Source organism: Homo sapiens, chromosome 7 (genome assembly GCF_000001405.40).
Source record: "Homo sapiens chromosome 7, GRCh38.p14 Primary Assembly".
Classification (NCBI taxonomy): Eukaryota; Metazoa; Chordata; class Mammalia; order Primates; family Hominidae; genus Homo; species Homo sapiens.
The window spans coordinates 81,945,667-81,961,621 of NC_000007.14; the positions used below are offsets into that span (position 1 = coordinate 81,945,667).

Below are 15,955 nucleotides of genomic sequence, written 5' to 3' on the forward strand. Positions count from 1 at the left end.
GATGGTAGGCCTACGTTATACTAGATTCCATATAACATCAGGCTCATCAGTTTATCACGTGAGCATAGGAAGTCAGGTTGTAAGCTGGTATAAGTGTAAAAGGAATCTAATAGGGCTTTTAGGGAAAATTCTTTATACTTCATTGCCTCAGCTGCTGTTCAAATGTTAGATGCATAGAAGAAAAGCACATTTCAGATACTCTAACTTGTTTCTTTCTTTTAACCTACTTTTCTGAGGTCTTTAAAGAAACATGGAAACATTAGGGAACTTTTTTTTATAAAAGAAGTCCAAAGTCTGATGAAGTACATTCCTAAGTGCCTTGATGGAGAAGGCATGTTAGAAGGTTAGACTTAAGTAAAGGCATCGCGAGTGAATTGACAGTCATCCCTCTGTGCGTGGGGGGGATCAGTTTCAGGATGCCCACGTGTATCAAAATCAATGCATACCCAAGTCAAGTCTGGAAAGTGGCCCCGCAGAATCTGAGTATACAGAAAGTAGGCACCTGGTATATGTGGGTTTTCCATCTTGCAAATACTGTATTTTCAATCTGCATTTGGTTGAAAAAAATCCACATATAAGTATATCCATGTGGTTCAAACATATGTTGTTCAAGGATTGACTGTATTTGTGTGAGTTGAGGTTTGTAATTGTAAAAGCACTATTTAATCCCAACTTTTATTTCCACAATCCAGAATTCTCTCTTAAAATTATTTATGACAGAGCCATCTGTCTCTTCCAACTGGATCTTTTAAAAAGCAGAAAACCCAAACCGCGTGGTGACTTTAAATGATAAACTTTTATTCTGAATATACTGTTTTTGCACAAGATTTAACACAACATTTTCTGGGATTATAAATATTTTATAACAGTATTATACAAATTTTTACAAAATGTTTTTATCAGGCTAGGTAATTTTCACAAAAGTGTCAAGAGAACAAAATAAAGGGGAGAAAAGATCTATTGTTCACAAAAGCCAGTTGGCCTTTTGCATGAATGCACACCATTTTAATAAAAGTATTCCTAAAAGCATGATCCGACACTCATACAACACAACAAAAAAGACAGCTTTACTAGGTCACATTATAAACTCAACTGGCATCTACACAAGACAGTATCCCATTAGTTTCAGTGGAATTTGAGATAACTGTGTGAACTAGAAATAAGGTAGATGAAGAGTTGTCTAATTCTTCAAAAATCTGGAATTTTTTTCAACACTCAAAACATTATATTGGTTTGCTCTTTACAGAAATGTACTGTGAATATTGACATTCTGCTATGGGAAACAATACAAGTTTAGATGAAAAAATATTTAAAATTTTGGGCAAGTGAAATAGTTATTTCATTCTATTCTTTAAAAAAAGTAACAACATCCATTTTGTTTCACTAGGTCAGACTATACCATTAAACATTTGAACGTCTAACATGATCAATGGAATAGATTCAGAGTTTTAAATGAAGACAAAATCTTAAGCTTTGTTGGTCACAGACAAAGATTTAAATGAGATTTAAAATACAAGAGAGCATCAAATAAGCAAGTAACACTTGGGTTGCAAAGGTCACTTAAAAGGGATACTGCCTATTTGAACCCGATAAGTCCAGTTTTAAAGTTAATAAAAGGAATATTATAGGAAAACTTACAAATGGCAGGAACACTGTTTTTTGTTTTTTTTTTTCCCAAGTTAAGCAGTAACACCTCAAGCATTAGAAACATGAAAAAAGATCATACTAAAATCTTATAGGCCCAGGACCTAAAAATCTCTTCAATCAAACTTGCTAACTATGTCATGTTAAAAACCTGTTACAAATATGGACCACGGTTGGTGTTTGGCAGTAATGCTGGTTGTTTAAATGAGGAAAATAAAAAGAAATCATTAATGCAAAATTCTTTCTTGTTACTCAACACCATTGCCAAGCTCACTTGAACTCTGTTTTAGTGACTAACTACACTAAGCCACATGAGTATAACAAAAATTAGTTAAAGCAGTGTATAAACTTTTTTATTGATCTGTTGTACTGTTCAGTCGTTGGAAATCAATATTAATAACAGGCTATAATTTAAGTTCTTGTCAATGTAACTCAGAAAAATACTAAATGTAATGTAATAATTTGATGGGATGAGTGTTACTGTCTTAAAAAATATGCTAAAAGCATGAAGACTAATATTAGTCATGGGAACAACTTTTATTCAGCTTGTTCTTACCCAATTTGTAATTGCATTTATGGTTGTCATAATATATAACTTTATAGCAGAAAATAAAGGTTTATAGCAAAACTCATGCATATAAATATATTTTGATGGCAACAGAAATTAAATAGGATCCTGCCAAGAGATGCCAAGTTTAACCGCGATTAATACAATAACAATGTAATTGATGAAAACATATACTCGACATTAGCCATGAAAATATATTTAATAGATTTTGAACATAATTTTAAGGTAGTTTGTTGTATGCTGGAAGCAATTCAATTGTTTTAATGTGCATTGTTTATATACACAAACTAACAATTTTATATTTTGATACCCCCTTCCCAACACTATCATGATTTAAGATAGTCTAGCAAAAATTGAACAATAACTTTTAAATATTTAACAAACAACATGATTAAAACATTGTTACTAGAGTGAGAAGTTTTTTTCCCCACATATATTTTAAATCACTTTGGTGTTTTCTAAAATGTCAATACCAGTTATGAATGACACTACAAAATCACAACAATGCATTAGAAATGGTAACTGATGTCAACTCTTAGAACAATAGTTGGCAAAGTGATTCCATTTCCCCCCACCTTTTTATTGAAAAAAAAAATCTTGAAATGTACACAAATGGTACCTAAGGTATATTGGTGGTGGGAGGGAATTACAAATGTATGCAAAGCTAAAAACAAAACAAATGTTATCTTTTAAGCTACGTTAAATTATTGGTTATATCTTTGATATGTGGAGCATATTAAAGCATGCTGGATAATGTTAATAACTTTGACTTAAAAAGGATATGTAAGAAAATTTCCAGCATATACACATACCAGTAATTGGCATGTTCCAAAAAAAGAAAAACTGCATTTTATCATAAAAAATATCTACATACGTTCAGCCTTCAGTAAAATTATTAACTATTCTTAGAATTACACATTCATAGTTTTTACCTTTTCTTCAAATACTGTTTGCTCCAGAAAATAATTTTTAAAAGCATAAATAATCTGCTACCATATTAGTCTATAATGAAATATCTGATTTACTACACTAACCATTTTCACCAATGAGGCTGTATAAAAAACAACTTTTATTATTCACAATCAAGTATTCATGTGCATACATAGAGATTCAAGGTTTCCTATTTGTTCAGATTATTGTAAAACCCTTATCAACTTGCATGGAAATTTTGGCCAAACGATCATACCATTTAAAATGGAAGGGCAAAAGCAGCAGTAGCAGGAACTTTTGGATTGTATGTGCTACTATTGAAACGAACAAAGAGGAAACCTAGGATGAATCTTCATTGAGAACATATATGTACTTTTCAAAAAATAAATGTGTCAAATCTGATTTATGTACTTAAAATATCTGTACATAGGTTATCAGGCGAAAGCATGAATCTGTATAAAATTCATTAATTCTCATTTCACCATTTATCTAACCCCAATCATTCAGCATTTACATTGCACAGTATATTCAGAGTAGTTTAACAACATTTTAAAGATGACTTAAGTGCATTTACACTGCAAGGTTCAGATTCTTACATAACAATATCACTCAGTTAACTTTTCAATGACTACACTCTACAGTAAGAGAAAAAACAACTGAAAAGTTAAAATAGCAGCAGCATCATGCAAAATACCCTTGGTAAACCAAAGTTCATTTATCACAAGAAAAACATTTCCCCCTCCCCCCTGACAAGCTTTTCTTAGAGCATTTTTAAATATCTGGCTAGCACTACATAACTGTACTGTGAACAAAAGGAACATTACATCAAAGCATTTATTAAGGGCTTGCTTACATTTATGAGGAAATATGTCACATATTCTAATTTCTCCCTCAAGCACCTTTAGTTTAATAATTTCTTAGTTACTATTTTCAAACCATCAATTCATTACCCCATCAAAATTGAATTGGTCATCAATTGTGTTTTATTTTTGGCAAAGAAGCCGTTCTTCATAAGGCATTTTATTCATGGCAAATTTTTCATAGAAAATTAGCCATTATTTATATTTCAACAATTTAGACCAATGTTAATTCTCTCTTTCTCTATATATTTCAATAATTGCTACTTAAAGCAGGAATTAACTTTTCACAGAAGAAAAAGTGAAGGCAAAAATAATTTCTTTCCCCTTAGAGATTTTCTTAGTAAAATTGCAGCAAGTCAAAATTCCAGGTCAATATCAAGACATTTCTTATGGTTCATTAACAATTGTATGGGGAACCCTTTCACATGTAATCACCAACAATGCAACAACAAACTCCCAAATTTTCCAATAGAGGACACGTATAGGATTTTGCTTTGATGTTACACATAGATGATGCAGCATTCACACACGTTTAAGGATCTGACACCCTGACATGCAGCCAGTGGGTGCCTTAGGAGTCTGCGCCTTAGTGTTATGCCATGGAACAGGCCCAGCTAATGTTTGTCTGATTTTATAGCTGACCCTACGTTACTGTAATTGAGGGCAGGGCTCATGTTTTGGCAGGGTCTGGAGTTTAACTATGCAGATTTGGTTTTTAGAAGGTCATAACAGGCGGTGTGTGCTGCCAGATACCAGCCAAAGTAGTAGAAACTGGATTCCAATGATATACCACAGGGAGGGATTTAATCCAGAAACACCACCACAGTCAGTATAATCCTCCTGTTGTTAAAAAAAAAAGAAAAGAACAGAAAAAGAAAAATCTAAAAATCTTGAAAAATATTTAGTAACACATCTTTCAGAGTAATCCATATTTAGTTCACTTTCTGAACTTACCTTATAAAACTGCTGTAATTGAAATCCAAAGAAATTACTTTCTCCTAGATTTTATCATTGAGGAATTTCCCTAGCATCATTTGACAAATGCTTTAAATTTTTAGTTGTAGCTTTTGATGATTATGAAAGAAAATAATAAATGCTGTTTGAATAATATACTAATTTTAAAGAAAAAACTTTCACAGTATCAAAAATCCTATATATTTATAAATGCAAGAAATAAATGTAAAATTTAATAGTAGGTTTTATAATTCCCAAGAATTATGATTTTAGCAACTATGCTCCATATGGTAAAGTTGGGGACTGGTAAAATAAATACATTTCCATTTCCCATATTTCTTATACAATTTATAAGGCTCAACATAGAGTGCAATCATAGCATCTGGACCTTCATCAAGAATTAAAGTAAAATGGGAATAATGTATTTGAACCATTGTTTATGTTGGTTCAAATACATTATTTGGACACATATAGGATTTTGCTTTGCAAATATATATCCAAAATAGAGAGCTAAGCTAGGAAGAGATTTGTCTTGAGACAACCAAGAAATATTAGAATGAATATACTCCCATTAACTCCCCACAGTCTAGTGGTAGCTCATTTAGTTCCCTCTTAATGCAAAAGTATTATTCATCTTTTATTCCTAGGTTCTATATTTGATAACATTGTCCACATCCTTTAATTCCTTTTAACATAGTGAATTTCATTTTTAAAAACCTCCTTATTATTTTTAAATTTTATTTCAATAGATTTTGGGGAACAGGTGGTTTTGGTTACATGGATAATTCTTTAGTGGTGATTTCTGAGATTTTGGTGCACCTGTCACCCAAGCAATGTACAATGCACCGAATGTATGTAGTACTTTATCCCTTACTCCCATTCCTCCCAAGTCCCCAAAGTCCATTATATCATTCTTATGCCTCTGCATCCTTATAGCTTAGCTCCCACTTAGAAGTTAGAACATACAATATTTGGTTTTCCATTCATGAGTTACTTCCCTTAGAAAAATGGTCTCCAACTCCATCTAGGTTGCTGCAAATGCCATTATTTCATTCCTTTTTATGGCTGAGGTGTATTCCATGTTGTATATATACCACATTTTCTTTAATCATTGGTTGATGGACATTTAGGTTGGTTCCACATTTTTGCAATTTTGAATTGTGCTGCTATAAACATGCATGCGCAAGTGTCTTTTTCATAAAATGACTTCTTTTCCTCAGGGTAGATACACAGCAGTGGGACTACTGGATCAAATGGTAGTTCTACTTTTCATTCTTTAAGGAATCACCATACTGTTTTCCATAGTGGTTGTATTAGCTTACATTCCCACCAGCAGTGTACAAAGTGTTTTTTTTTTTTTTTTTTTTTTAACCACATCCATTATTTTTTTATTATGGCCATTAGTGCAGGAGTAAGGTGGTATCACATTGTGGTTTTAACATGCATTTCCCTGATAATTAGTGATGTTGAGCAATTTTTCATATGTTTTGGCCATTTGTATATCATTTTTTGAGAACTGTCTATTCATGTTTTTTGCCCACTTTCTGATGGGATTATTTGAAAGACCATATATTTAAACATCTTTAAAGAATCTGCTAATCCAAGGTAGATGTTCTAAGAATCAAAATAATAGGTTGAACAATTTTCTTTCAGGATAATTTTACAAAGATTCTAAGCTCCCAAAGAATAAGAACTTTGGCTCTTTTTGTTCACCAGGATTTAATACAGTGCTGCCACACAGTAAATAAAATTATTTCTTTAATTGTATTTTAAGGCAGCAGAACTATTTTGTTAAGAAGAAAGAAAGCTGGGAGAAAAGAATCTATGAAAAAATTTTAGTTTCAATCAATTTACATCCCAAATCTAAATAGAATCATAAAATAATCAATTCTTAGTCTTCATCCTCTTTGACCTTTCAGAAGCATTTGACAAATATATGACATTGTCTCCTTGAAATACGTTCTCATGTACCTTTGGCTAATGTACTCTTCTGGTTTTTCTTGAAACTTGTTTGTGTCTCTCTCCTTGGCTTGACCTCCTTTCTTTCATGCTCTCTAAAATGTTAGACTTTTCCAGGTGTTACTTCTCTCTCCTTTCTTCTTCTTCCTTTACACTTTGTTCCTAGATGATCTAATCCCCAGTCCTATGGCTTTAATTTCATCCGTTTCCTAATAACTCACTCTTTTGTATGTTCAATCCTGTATTCTCCTCTGGTCTGTGTATTCATTGATCTCTACCTTTCTCCTCTTGTATGTCTCATAGGGATTTCAAACTTGACTTGCCTTGCCCCTAATATAATTCTTCTGGTATCAGTAAATATCTGGTACCAGTAAATAGCATGGCATGATCTTGACCTCCCTGGGCTCAGGTGGTCCTCCCACCTCAGCCTCCCAAGTAGCTGGGACTATAGATGTGCACCACCACACCTGTCTAATTTTTTATATTTTTTGCAGAGTGGGGGTTTCAGCTGGGAATCCATCCTCTAACTCTACCTTCAAAATACATCCCCAAACTTACTGCTTGTCACTACTGCAGGTCCAAGTCACCATTACTTCTTGCTTCCACTTTTGCAAAAGCTGTCTCACTTGTCCCATGGCTTCTACTCTGCCCTTTTATAAACGCTTCTCCAAAAAGCAGTCTTCTTAACACCACACATTCTTTCACTCCCTGCTTGACATTTCTCATCATTCTCAGAGCAAAATCTACATTCTTTATTGAGGTCTACAAAGCCTTATGAGGTCTGGAGCCTGGCTGTCTCATCTTCCCACCTTCTCCTCTCCCGCCTACTCACTCTGCTTCAGTAACACTGGCTTTCTCTGCAACAGGCCAAGCTGTTTACTGCCTTTGCATTTGTTCTTTTTGTTCAGATGCTTTTCTCTCCAGGTAGGGTAAACAGATAAAAAACAGGGTACCAGTAACAATTGAATATCAGATTAAAAAAAAAACAAATACTTTATATAAATGTATTTCATACACAGAAGAGTGGCTAGATACATAGCAACGATTTGATAAATGAAGAGTAGGTACTCAATAAAGCAGCACACATGGACTGGTTAGAAACACTATGAGGTATTAACTTAAAGAAGTCATTGTCACTTAAACAGGAGTACTCCCCAGTTATGATTAAGTGTTAATTTGAATAAAAATTACCACACAAGACCCATTTGTGTATTAATAACATATTTTGTCATCTTTATACTCTACAAATGTGTTATGGAAAGAAAAATATTCTCTTTGGCCCTTATTTCACTGTTTTTATTTTTATATATAATTTTTGTTTAATTTCCTCTGTGTGATGATGAGATATGTCTGTTTCTATTTGGGAGGTGGTAGTTTAGATAAGTTATTTGGGCTCCCTGTGGTGTGCATGTCAGTTCACACTGAAAAATGTGTCTTTTAAGTTTCCTGATCATGTCTTCCCAAGCATTTTGCATGGTGCAAGTCCATGTAATGTATTTCATAGAATCATTTCAAGTCTTATTATGGCATACATTCTACACAAATGCACTGATGTGGGAGGAACTCAGCATTATTTCTGTCCTATAGAGACTGAAATCCCACTGACACCATGACCAGATATAATAAATCGGTCTGATTTTTAAATGATTATTTAAGTAGAAAATAACAGATTGGTACTTTCAGTTTAGAACATTAAAATGGAAAAAGAATGCAGTGCCAATATTATATATATATTTATTTTAAAATATGATAAAACTAATTTTATTAGACTTCCTTATAGGGGAACCTCCCTTAAAAGACTGTGTTATTAAAGATATCAACTAAGAATTCTTTATTCCTTTCTCATTACTCTTTAAAAAATCTAAACCATAGTAAAATTCATATGGTTTTTGCCCCAAAGTTTTCTTCATACAGCATGCGTTACCAGTGGCTAAAATCTTTTGAAGTTACTGTTGCTAAACTCTTACTCTGCCTTTCTTTCCCCATTCAGAACCTGGGACAACTAATTGCATACAGTACAAGCTTAATAATTTTTAATTTATTAAATTTAGAAGTACATGTTTCAAAAGAAAATGTTCTGGTCATTTGGCTAAAAGGTTTTTGATCTTTTTTTCTGAATTATAGCCATCATTTAATTTCCTTCAAAATGCAAATCGCTGGTGAAGACAGCCATCAAATCATGGACTAACTTTTGAATTCAGGTAAGTCTGTACTAAAGTTACCACCAGCAACTTTGAAGACAATCTATATTTAAAAATTTTTAGGCATGTAGATACTGCATAATAATAGGAATAATGCCCCTAGCAAATAATTTGTTCTCCGACATGTCACCTTAACACTCTTACACATTAACTCGTGAGATAGGTAGGTAGTAGTATATTTATTCAACTCTTTAAATGTAGACAGATTATGTACCCAATAATATGCTTTATAAATTGGGTTTGCATAAAATAATAAATTTCTCAATGGACAGAATTGGCTTGCTTTACTTCTTTGATTAATAAATGTTAGCTTTTTGAGTCTTCATAAACTTGTTATCAAAAAGTCTTGTTTGAACACTTGAGTTCTGATGAAGTCCTCATGGTATGGAGCTTCATAACTGTTTTTGTATAATCTATATCCTTCCGGACTCTACCGGGTATAAGGGCCCCTTGGTAGGCTTTGGAGATTATACTACCATTCTACCTTGCTTGTGAGCAGAACCTAATCCAACAGAAATTGCTAGTTTTAGCCAGACTACATTGGAGCATAGACCATAACCTTTATGGTCCTTAATGTGGGAAACAACTGCCAACTAACATTTCAGTATTTTTTGTAATGATTTTTTTCAACTTAATTGTTTCAGAGAAAATAATACTTCCTTTGATATCATTATATCAACATTCAAATAGCACTAAGTGGATTCACTGTTCTATACAGATAACTGTGTTTTTAAATACTGAAAGCATATTTTGTTAATGTAAAATATACATCATCGATATTATGTATTCCTTTGATACAATAATATAAAGGAATCTCAAATGTTTTCTTTTTGGAGATCAGAAGGATATAGATTATACTTCTACAATTATGAAGCTCCATACCATGAGGACTTCATCAAAACTCAAGCAAATGAAAAAGCTAACATTTATTAATCAAAGAAGTAAAGCAAGTCAATAATTGTCCATTGAGAAATTTATTATTTTATGCAAACACAATTTATAAAGCATATTATCTGGTACATAAATATCCTAGTTGAGTCCATGGTGATATATAATTATTGCCATGATAGATTTATAATTATAGTTCAAGGAAAGTACCATAATAGGAAAATGTTATTTTGGTGGGGGGGGGGGGGGGTGGTGGTCTTAGGTTAAAAAGATTTTAAAGTCACTGTTGCTATATATATATATATATATATTTTTTTTTTTTTTTTTTTTTTTTGGAAATGGAGTCTAGCTCTGTGATCTAGGCTGGAGTGCAGTGGCACAATCTCAGCTTACTGCAACTTCCACCTCCTAGGCTCAAGCAATTCTCCTGCCTCAGCCTCTGGCGTAGCTGGGACCACCATGCCCAGCTAATTTTTGTATTTTAGTAGAGATGGGGTTTCACCAGGTTGCCCAGGCTGGTCTCGAACTCCTGACCTCAGGTGATGCACCCACCTCGGCCTCCCAAAGTGCTGGGATTATAGGCTTGAACCACTGCACCCAGCCGTTGCTATAAGTTTTTAAGAGAAAGGTAAAAAGAGAGCTGGCCTACTCAAGAGCAATACTTACATATTTTTTAGTGTAACTGATAACCTATAAATCTTATCTAAAAATTCTATGATTGACAGAAGTAAGCTTTTGAATCAAAAGGGAAAATAAGGACAATTATAGAAATATAATTTGATTACACTTTTCTTGTGTAATGGTTGACTACCTATGAACTTCTTTCAGGAATTAATAATAATTCAAATAATTGCCTATATATCAATTTTTAAAATGTGTATATGAAGATATTAAAGCAACGTTTCCTTACTTTGGCGTCTTTTGCCATGAAAACTATTCTTTTATTATGCCAGAAGACTTGTGGTTATTTTCTGAGACTCCCTCTGCTATTCTACTCCCCACCCTCTATCACCCCTGCCTGTGAATTCACTCCATTCATAGTAATGGCCACATCTCCATCTAGTGGCTTCCTAATCAATGACTACTTGGAAACCAATGACAAACACAACGAAAGTGCGTGCTCTAGTAATACATCATGATGATTCCAGAGCATTAGAAAAGAAATTGCAAAACAGTAAATGAAGAACTAAATGCAAATCCAAGACCCAAAACATCTCTTTAGTAGTATTGAATAGAGAACTCAGAAATTTCTTAAAAGGTTAATTAATAATTTTGGGCTAGATAATGTATATTAAATAAAATGAACTTAGAAACTAGAAGCACTTATTCTAAAATATTTCAATAAGAATATTTTGAGAGTAAAAAATCTAAAAAGTTATTTAAGTCAGATTTATTTTAAAAAGTAGAAAAATCTGAAAGGAATTGAAAGAGTGCATTAAATTTGTGTTAGCATCTTTTGTAAATAAATTGAGATAACCACCTCTAAAAATTGTCATTAGGTAGTTCTCATAAAATACCATGAAGCCTGTATATCTGTCTCTGTAATGACAATTTTTACACAAAAACTTTATGAAAAATGATTTTTACATAAATATTGAATATGTTTCATTTAGGATTAGAAATGTACATGCCATTTGAAATCAGCTATTTACAAAACAACAACATTGGTCCTGAGATTTTAATAACCTGGTTTCAGGAACATTAATATCGCAGATTTAGGAATATGGGTGATTTTCTAGAATTTCAAGCCAAAAACAAAAACTAAGAAAAATTAGAGAAAGTGACTGACCATCCACACCACATGAAAACTTGCAGTAAAATGAAGATAGGAGCTGACATCATGGTACAGGCACGACTCGTTGTGCACTTAAGTTGATCCTATTAATAACGGGCAAAGTAGCAAGTATAGGAAAAGGAAAGAAAACACAGAAGACATACAAGATGAGATTTCATGCAATTTGCTGGCAGTTAACGTGAGTCTCCATCCAGAGCAGATTCACAGTGACCATTGCAAATAAGCATTACCAAAATAACTCCACTGCTAAAGAAACACAAGATATTATTAGCACACCAAGCTACTGAGCAACAGTTGTACTTTCACACACAACCCATTTATAGGAGCTTCAATTGCTGAACATTTTTGTCTTGGTCAAATCCTTTTAATGGCTTGATCATAAGATATAGCCTCCTAGAATAATATTTTGGGCAATAGGCTTTTAAGTCACTTTTCAAGTTCATCTGAATTTAATATTTCTAGTGTCAAAAAACTGGTGACAAATAGTTGATGAGCGAAGTTTCTCTAATGAGTGACATGACCCTTGGCCCTTCATAAAACATTCTTTGGGGGAATAATTTTACATGGGCAACGTGCTGAAGTTGCAGTAGACAGAATAACAGGAGTCCGCCTATCTGGACTTAATATATCTTAAAAAGAAAAAAAAAACGCTTAGTTGCAATGTTGAATTACTCTCCCTAGCAAGGATCAATAATCCCTCACAGAGATAACTGGGATTGACTGGCTAATACATCTTTCATTTTTAGTCCCCATTACTGATTTTATTACTTCTTTGTGCTATTTTTAATTTATATTATCTAATTGCATAATATTATCTGTGAAAATGTTTTGTCCTTTCTGGGACAAATGCAGCTATGTATTTGAGTAGGTAAACTAAATAACTCAAATAATTTATGAGATAATGCTTTACAAGTTTGGATATTCATTGGTGTGTGCACACACTGAAGAATCAGAATTAGGAAGTATTGTATTTAAAATTAGTTAAAAAGAGGTAGACAGAGATTTTTATGTAGACTTCATCTTTGAGAATAGATTAATATTTCTTAAGAATTTTAAAAGCATAAAGCTAATGTAGTACATACTGATGACATATTACCTACCTTGTATATAATCAATACACAGTAAATCAGAATAGTATTTATTAGAGAAAGATAGCTGAACTATAGGAAAAGTAGTAAGCCATCTTTAAGTGACATATATTAAATATGATTTGTAATATTTTATCAAACCCTATGTAATTGACCTGGTCTAGTTTCAAACACTAGAAAAAGAAATTAGTACAATTAAAGGAAATAATAGAAGTCTAATATGTGATAGCATCAGAAACCATCCAAAAGAAACTAGAACTCTGTAATAATAAGACAATGGCTGTATAACAGGTTTTTCAATTCACACTAGAACTCTGTAATAATAAGACAATGGCTGTATAACAGGTTTTTCAATTCACTGAAGACAAATATAACTAACAAAAATATAATAAAATTAACTTTTATATCTTCAGGATTGGAATATAAATGGAGGCAACAAATATACCATAATTAACATTTACTATGAGTTAAATTGATTGGAATTGTGTTTGAAAGCACAATTTCTGTGGGAAGGACATATAAAAGAAGCAACTGTCAAGTTTATGCTAACCATGAAAACTACTGAAATGAAAAAAATCTACCAGCAAGTATGTCATGTTAATGAGAAAAACTATGGTTAAGACATTACGTTTGAGTTAAAATTGCAATTTGTATCCTTGAATTCTTGCGGACAGTGACCATTAATTTATAGTATTTTAATCCAGTAGAAGTGTGATCTTACCAAGACATTGTTATCAAAGCAGACATCAGGCCCTTTTCGGTATCTGGGTTGCTTAACCATGTCACAAGGATTTGGACCGTCAGCTAAAAGAGACTTGTTAAGGAATCTCATGTTAGTTTTTTTCACATGATTAAAAATAAATACAATGCAATGTATTTCCCAAAACATGTGAGAGAGATAACTTATACATCATTACTCTCATCCAACACAATTCAAGTACATAGGGATTTAAAGAACTAAATTGTGAATTATCCTTTTCTGGGGCATGTGTAGCATAATTATTCTTGACATTCCAACCAAATTTTGAGTGAGGAATCGATTCTGCCTTTGCGAGGTGATCAGAGCAGTCTAATAGTTTTCTCTTTATGAATATAAACAATGTGACAAGATTCAAAATGCATTAAGATGGTTTTCCTTTCCAGATAGCTCTGATGTCAAAGGATACAAGTCTGCTCCGCTTGTATGAGCAGTCGTGTGTCACATGGACATGTCCCTTTGCTCTCAACCATTATGAATATTAAGTTGGTGTTCATAAGCTTTTCTCCATGAAAGATTCTGCAAAATAAATATGGTATCATAGAAAATGAGTATCTTTTCCAAAATAAATGGAAATCTTTCAAAGATTCTTACATATTAAAATGAAAGACAAAATATGACATCTGAAACAGAAACCATTCCCAGCACAATAGGAGTATGATTTTAGAAGAAAAAAATGCTTCATTTATTAGCATGAACGTATTACCTATGTCAAATGAATAAAAAAATTGCAATATATGTTTTATGTGTGACCATTTTAAAGTATTAATCCTCATTGCAAAATAAGCACAATTTAGTTGTTGATGTACATAGAAAAAAGTTTTTCTTTACACATACAAAGAATTGTGATGCTTATGCCAAAGTTGCCTTATTTTACAGATAACACAACAGGGAATACAAAAATGTCTAGGCATCTTGCCCAACCTAAGGGCAGAGAAAAGTCTGGAACAGTGCTATTAAGCAAACTTTCTGTGAAGATGGAAAAGTTGTTCGCACTGTCCAATATGGTAAATACTAGCCACTCGAGGGTATTGGGCACTTAAAATGTGACAAGTGTGACTGAGGCACAAAATTTTAATTCTAATTAATTTAACTGTAATTGAAATTTCAATAGCCACCTATAGGTGGTAACTACTGCACTGGGCAACACAGACATGGACAGAATCAAGGGTTTTGAATTCCATCCCCTGTTTTGTCCACACCTTAAGCTGCTCTTACTTTAGTAACCAACATAAAAAATGTAAATATATCACTAAAAAAGTAATTTCTTTATCATTATACATTTTGCAGAAAAGTGGGATTTTCTTTTTGCCCTGTTAAGCTTTGATTTCCATAAAGCAAATCAAAAGGAAAGTATGATGCAATTTAACATCTTGGTTATACTGACCTTCTTCACTTTACAATTTAACTTACTTCTTTAAGCACACCAATTGCTCTTGCTGGATGTCAATTAATAAAAGGCCAATGTCTGTGAAACTCTGATGTATCCAATAAACATGCCACAATCCCATTTCCTGAAGTCCATAGCCTGATATGCTAATCTCCTCTAAACAAGACAGTCTGCTTTTTTTCTGAGTTCATGCTTGACTCTTCCTTCCCTTTCCTCTCCTCTTTATATACTCTACCTCCTCCTTGGAGATAGAGGTCTGCTAAAGAAAGTCATAAAACATACTGACCACGTCTCCTAAAAATTCATGATAGGTTGCTTAGCCCCTCTTGCAAAATTTTTTTTTTTAACTATTCTGGCACTTTCATAATCTCAGATTACCTCACCTCCTCCTATTTCTTCTTCCGCTATGGTAACATTTCTTCTAGAATAATCTTCCCTCCACCTCTAAAAACAAAGTGTCTCTACTCTGTGCTTTGTAAGCTGTGACTTGCTGCTCTCCTCTCAGGAATCCTGTGGCATTAATTATTACTTTCCCCTCAAAATCCCCATCTTGCCTTTCTCCTCTACCCTCATTACAACAAAATTAAATTCTCCATCTCTTTTTAAAAGATATTTTATGGATACTGACTAACATTAACCATGACCTAAAAAAACTGTATTTTTCCCAGTTCCTTCAAATTCAAATAAAGATAACATTCAGTTCTTCAAGTCAGAGAAGACTAGAAGTAAAAACAAAACAAAACAAGACTTTTTTTTTGTAAATCTGTTTAGTTACTATATAGAAAAATAAATAATATTTGGCTTAGAATTATTTAAATTACTAATATATTTAATAACTTTATATTAGAAATTTTTAATATGGGTTATTTTAGGAAAAAAAGTTAAAATATAATCAAATTTCTCTATGTTCTGCCTAAAGAG

At 32.8% G+C, this 15,955-nt stretch overlaps 1 protein-coding gene across 15 annotated transcripts in view; it reads right to left on the bottom strand.

The window, feature by feature from the left end:
- CACNA2D1 (calcium voltage-gated channel auxiliary subunit alpha2delta 1) overlaps positions 778-15,955 on the bottom strand; it is a 497,513-nt gene continuing 482,335 nt past the window's right edge. For 10 of the 15 annotated variants that reach the window (XM_005250574.4, XM_005250572.4, XM_005250573.4 and 7 more), the window contains 3 exons: positions 14,054-14,163; positions 13,609-13,691; positions 778-4,842 (listed from right to left, as the gene is read on the bottom strand). In XM_005250574.4, the coding sequence (XP_005250631.1) occupies positions 4,726-4,842; positions 13,609-13,691; positions 14,054-14,163 (310 nt within the window). In that variant the 3' untranslated portion in view covers positions 778-4,725. Of the gene's footprint in view, positions 4,843-11,378; positions 11,883-13,608; positions 13,692-14,053; positions 14,164-15,955 lie in introns of those variants that run through there. The other 5 variants (XM_047420822.1, XM_047420820.1, XM_047420821.1 and 2 more) reach the window with 1 other exon arrangement.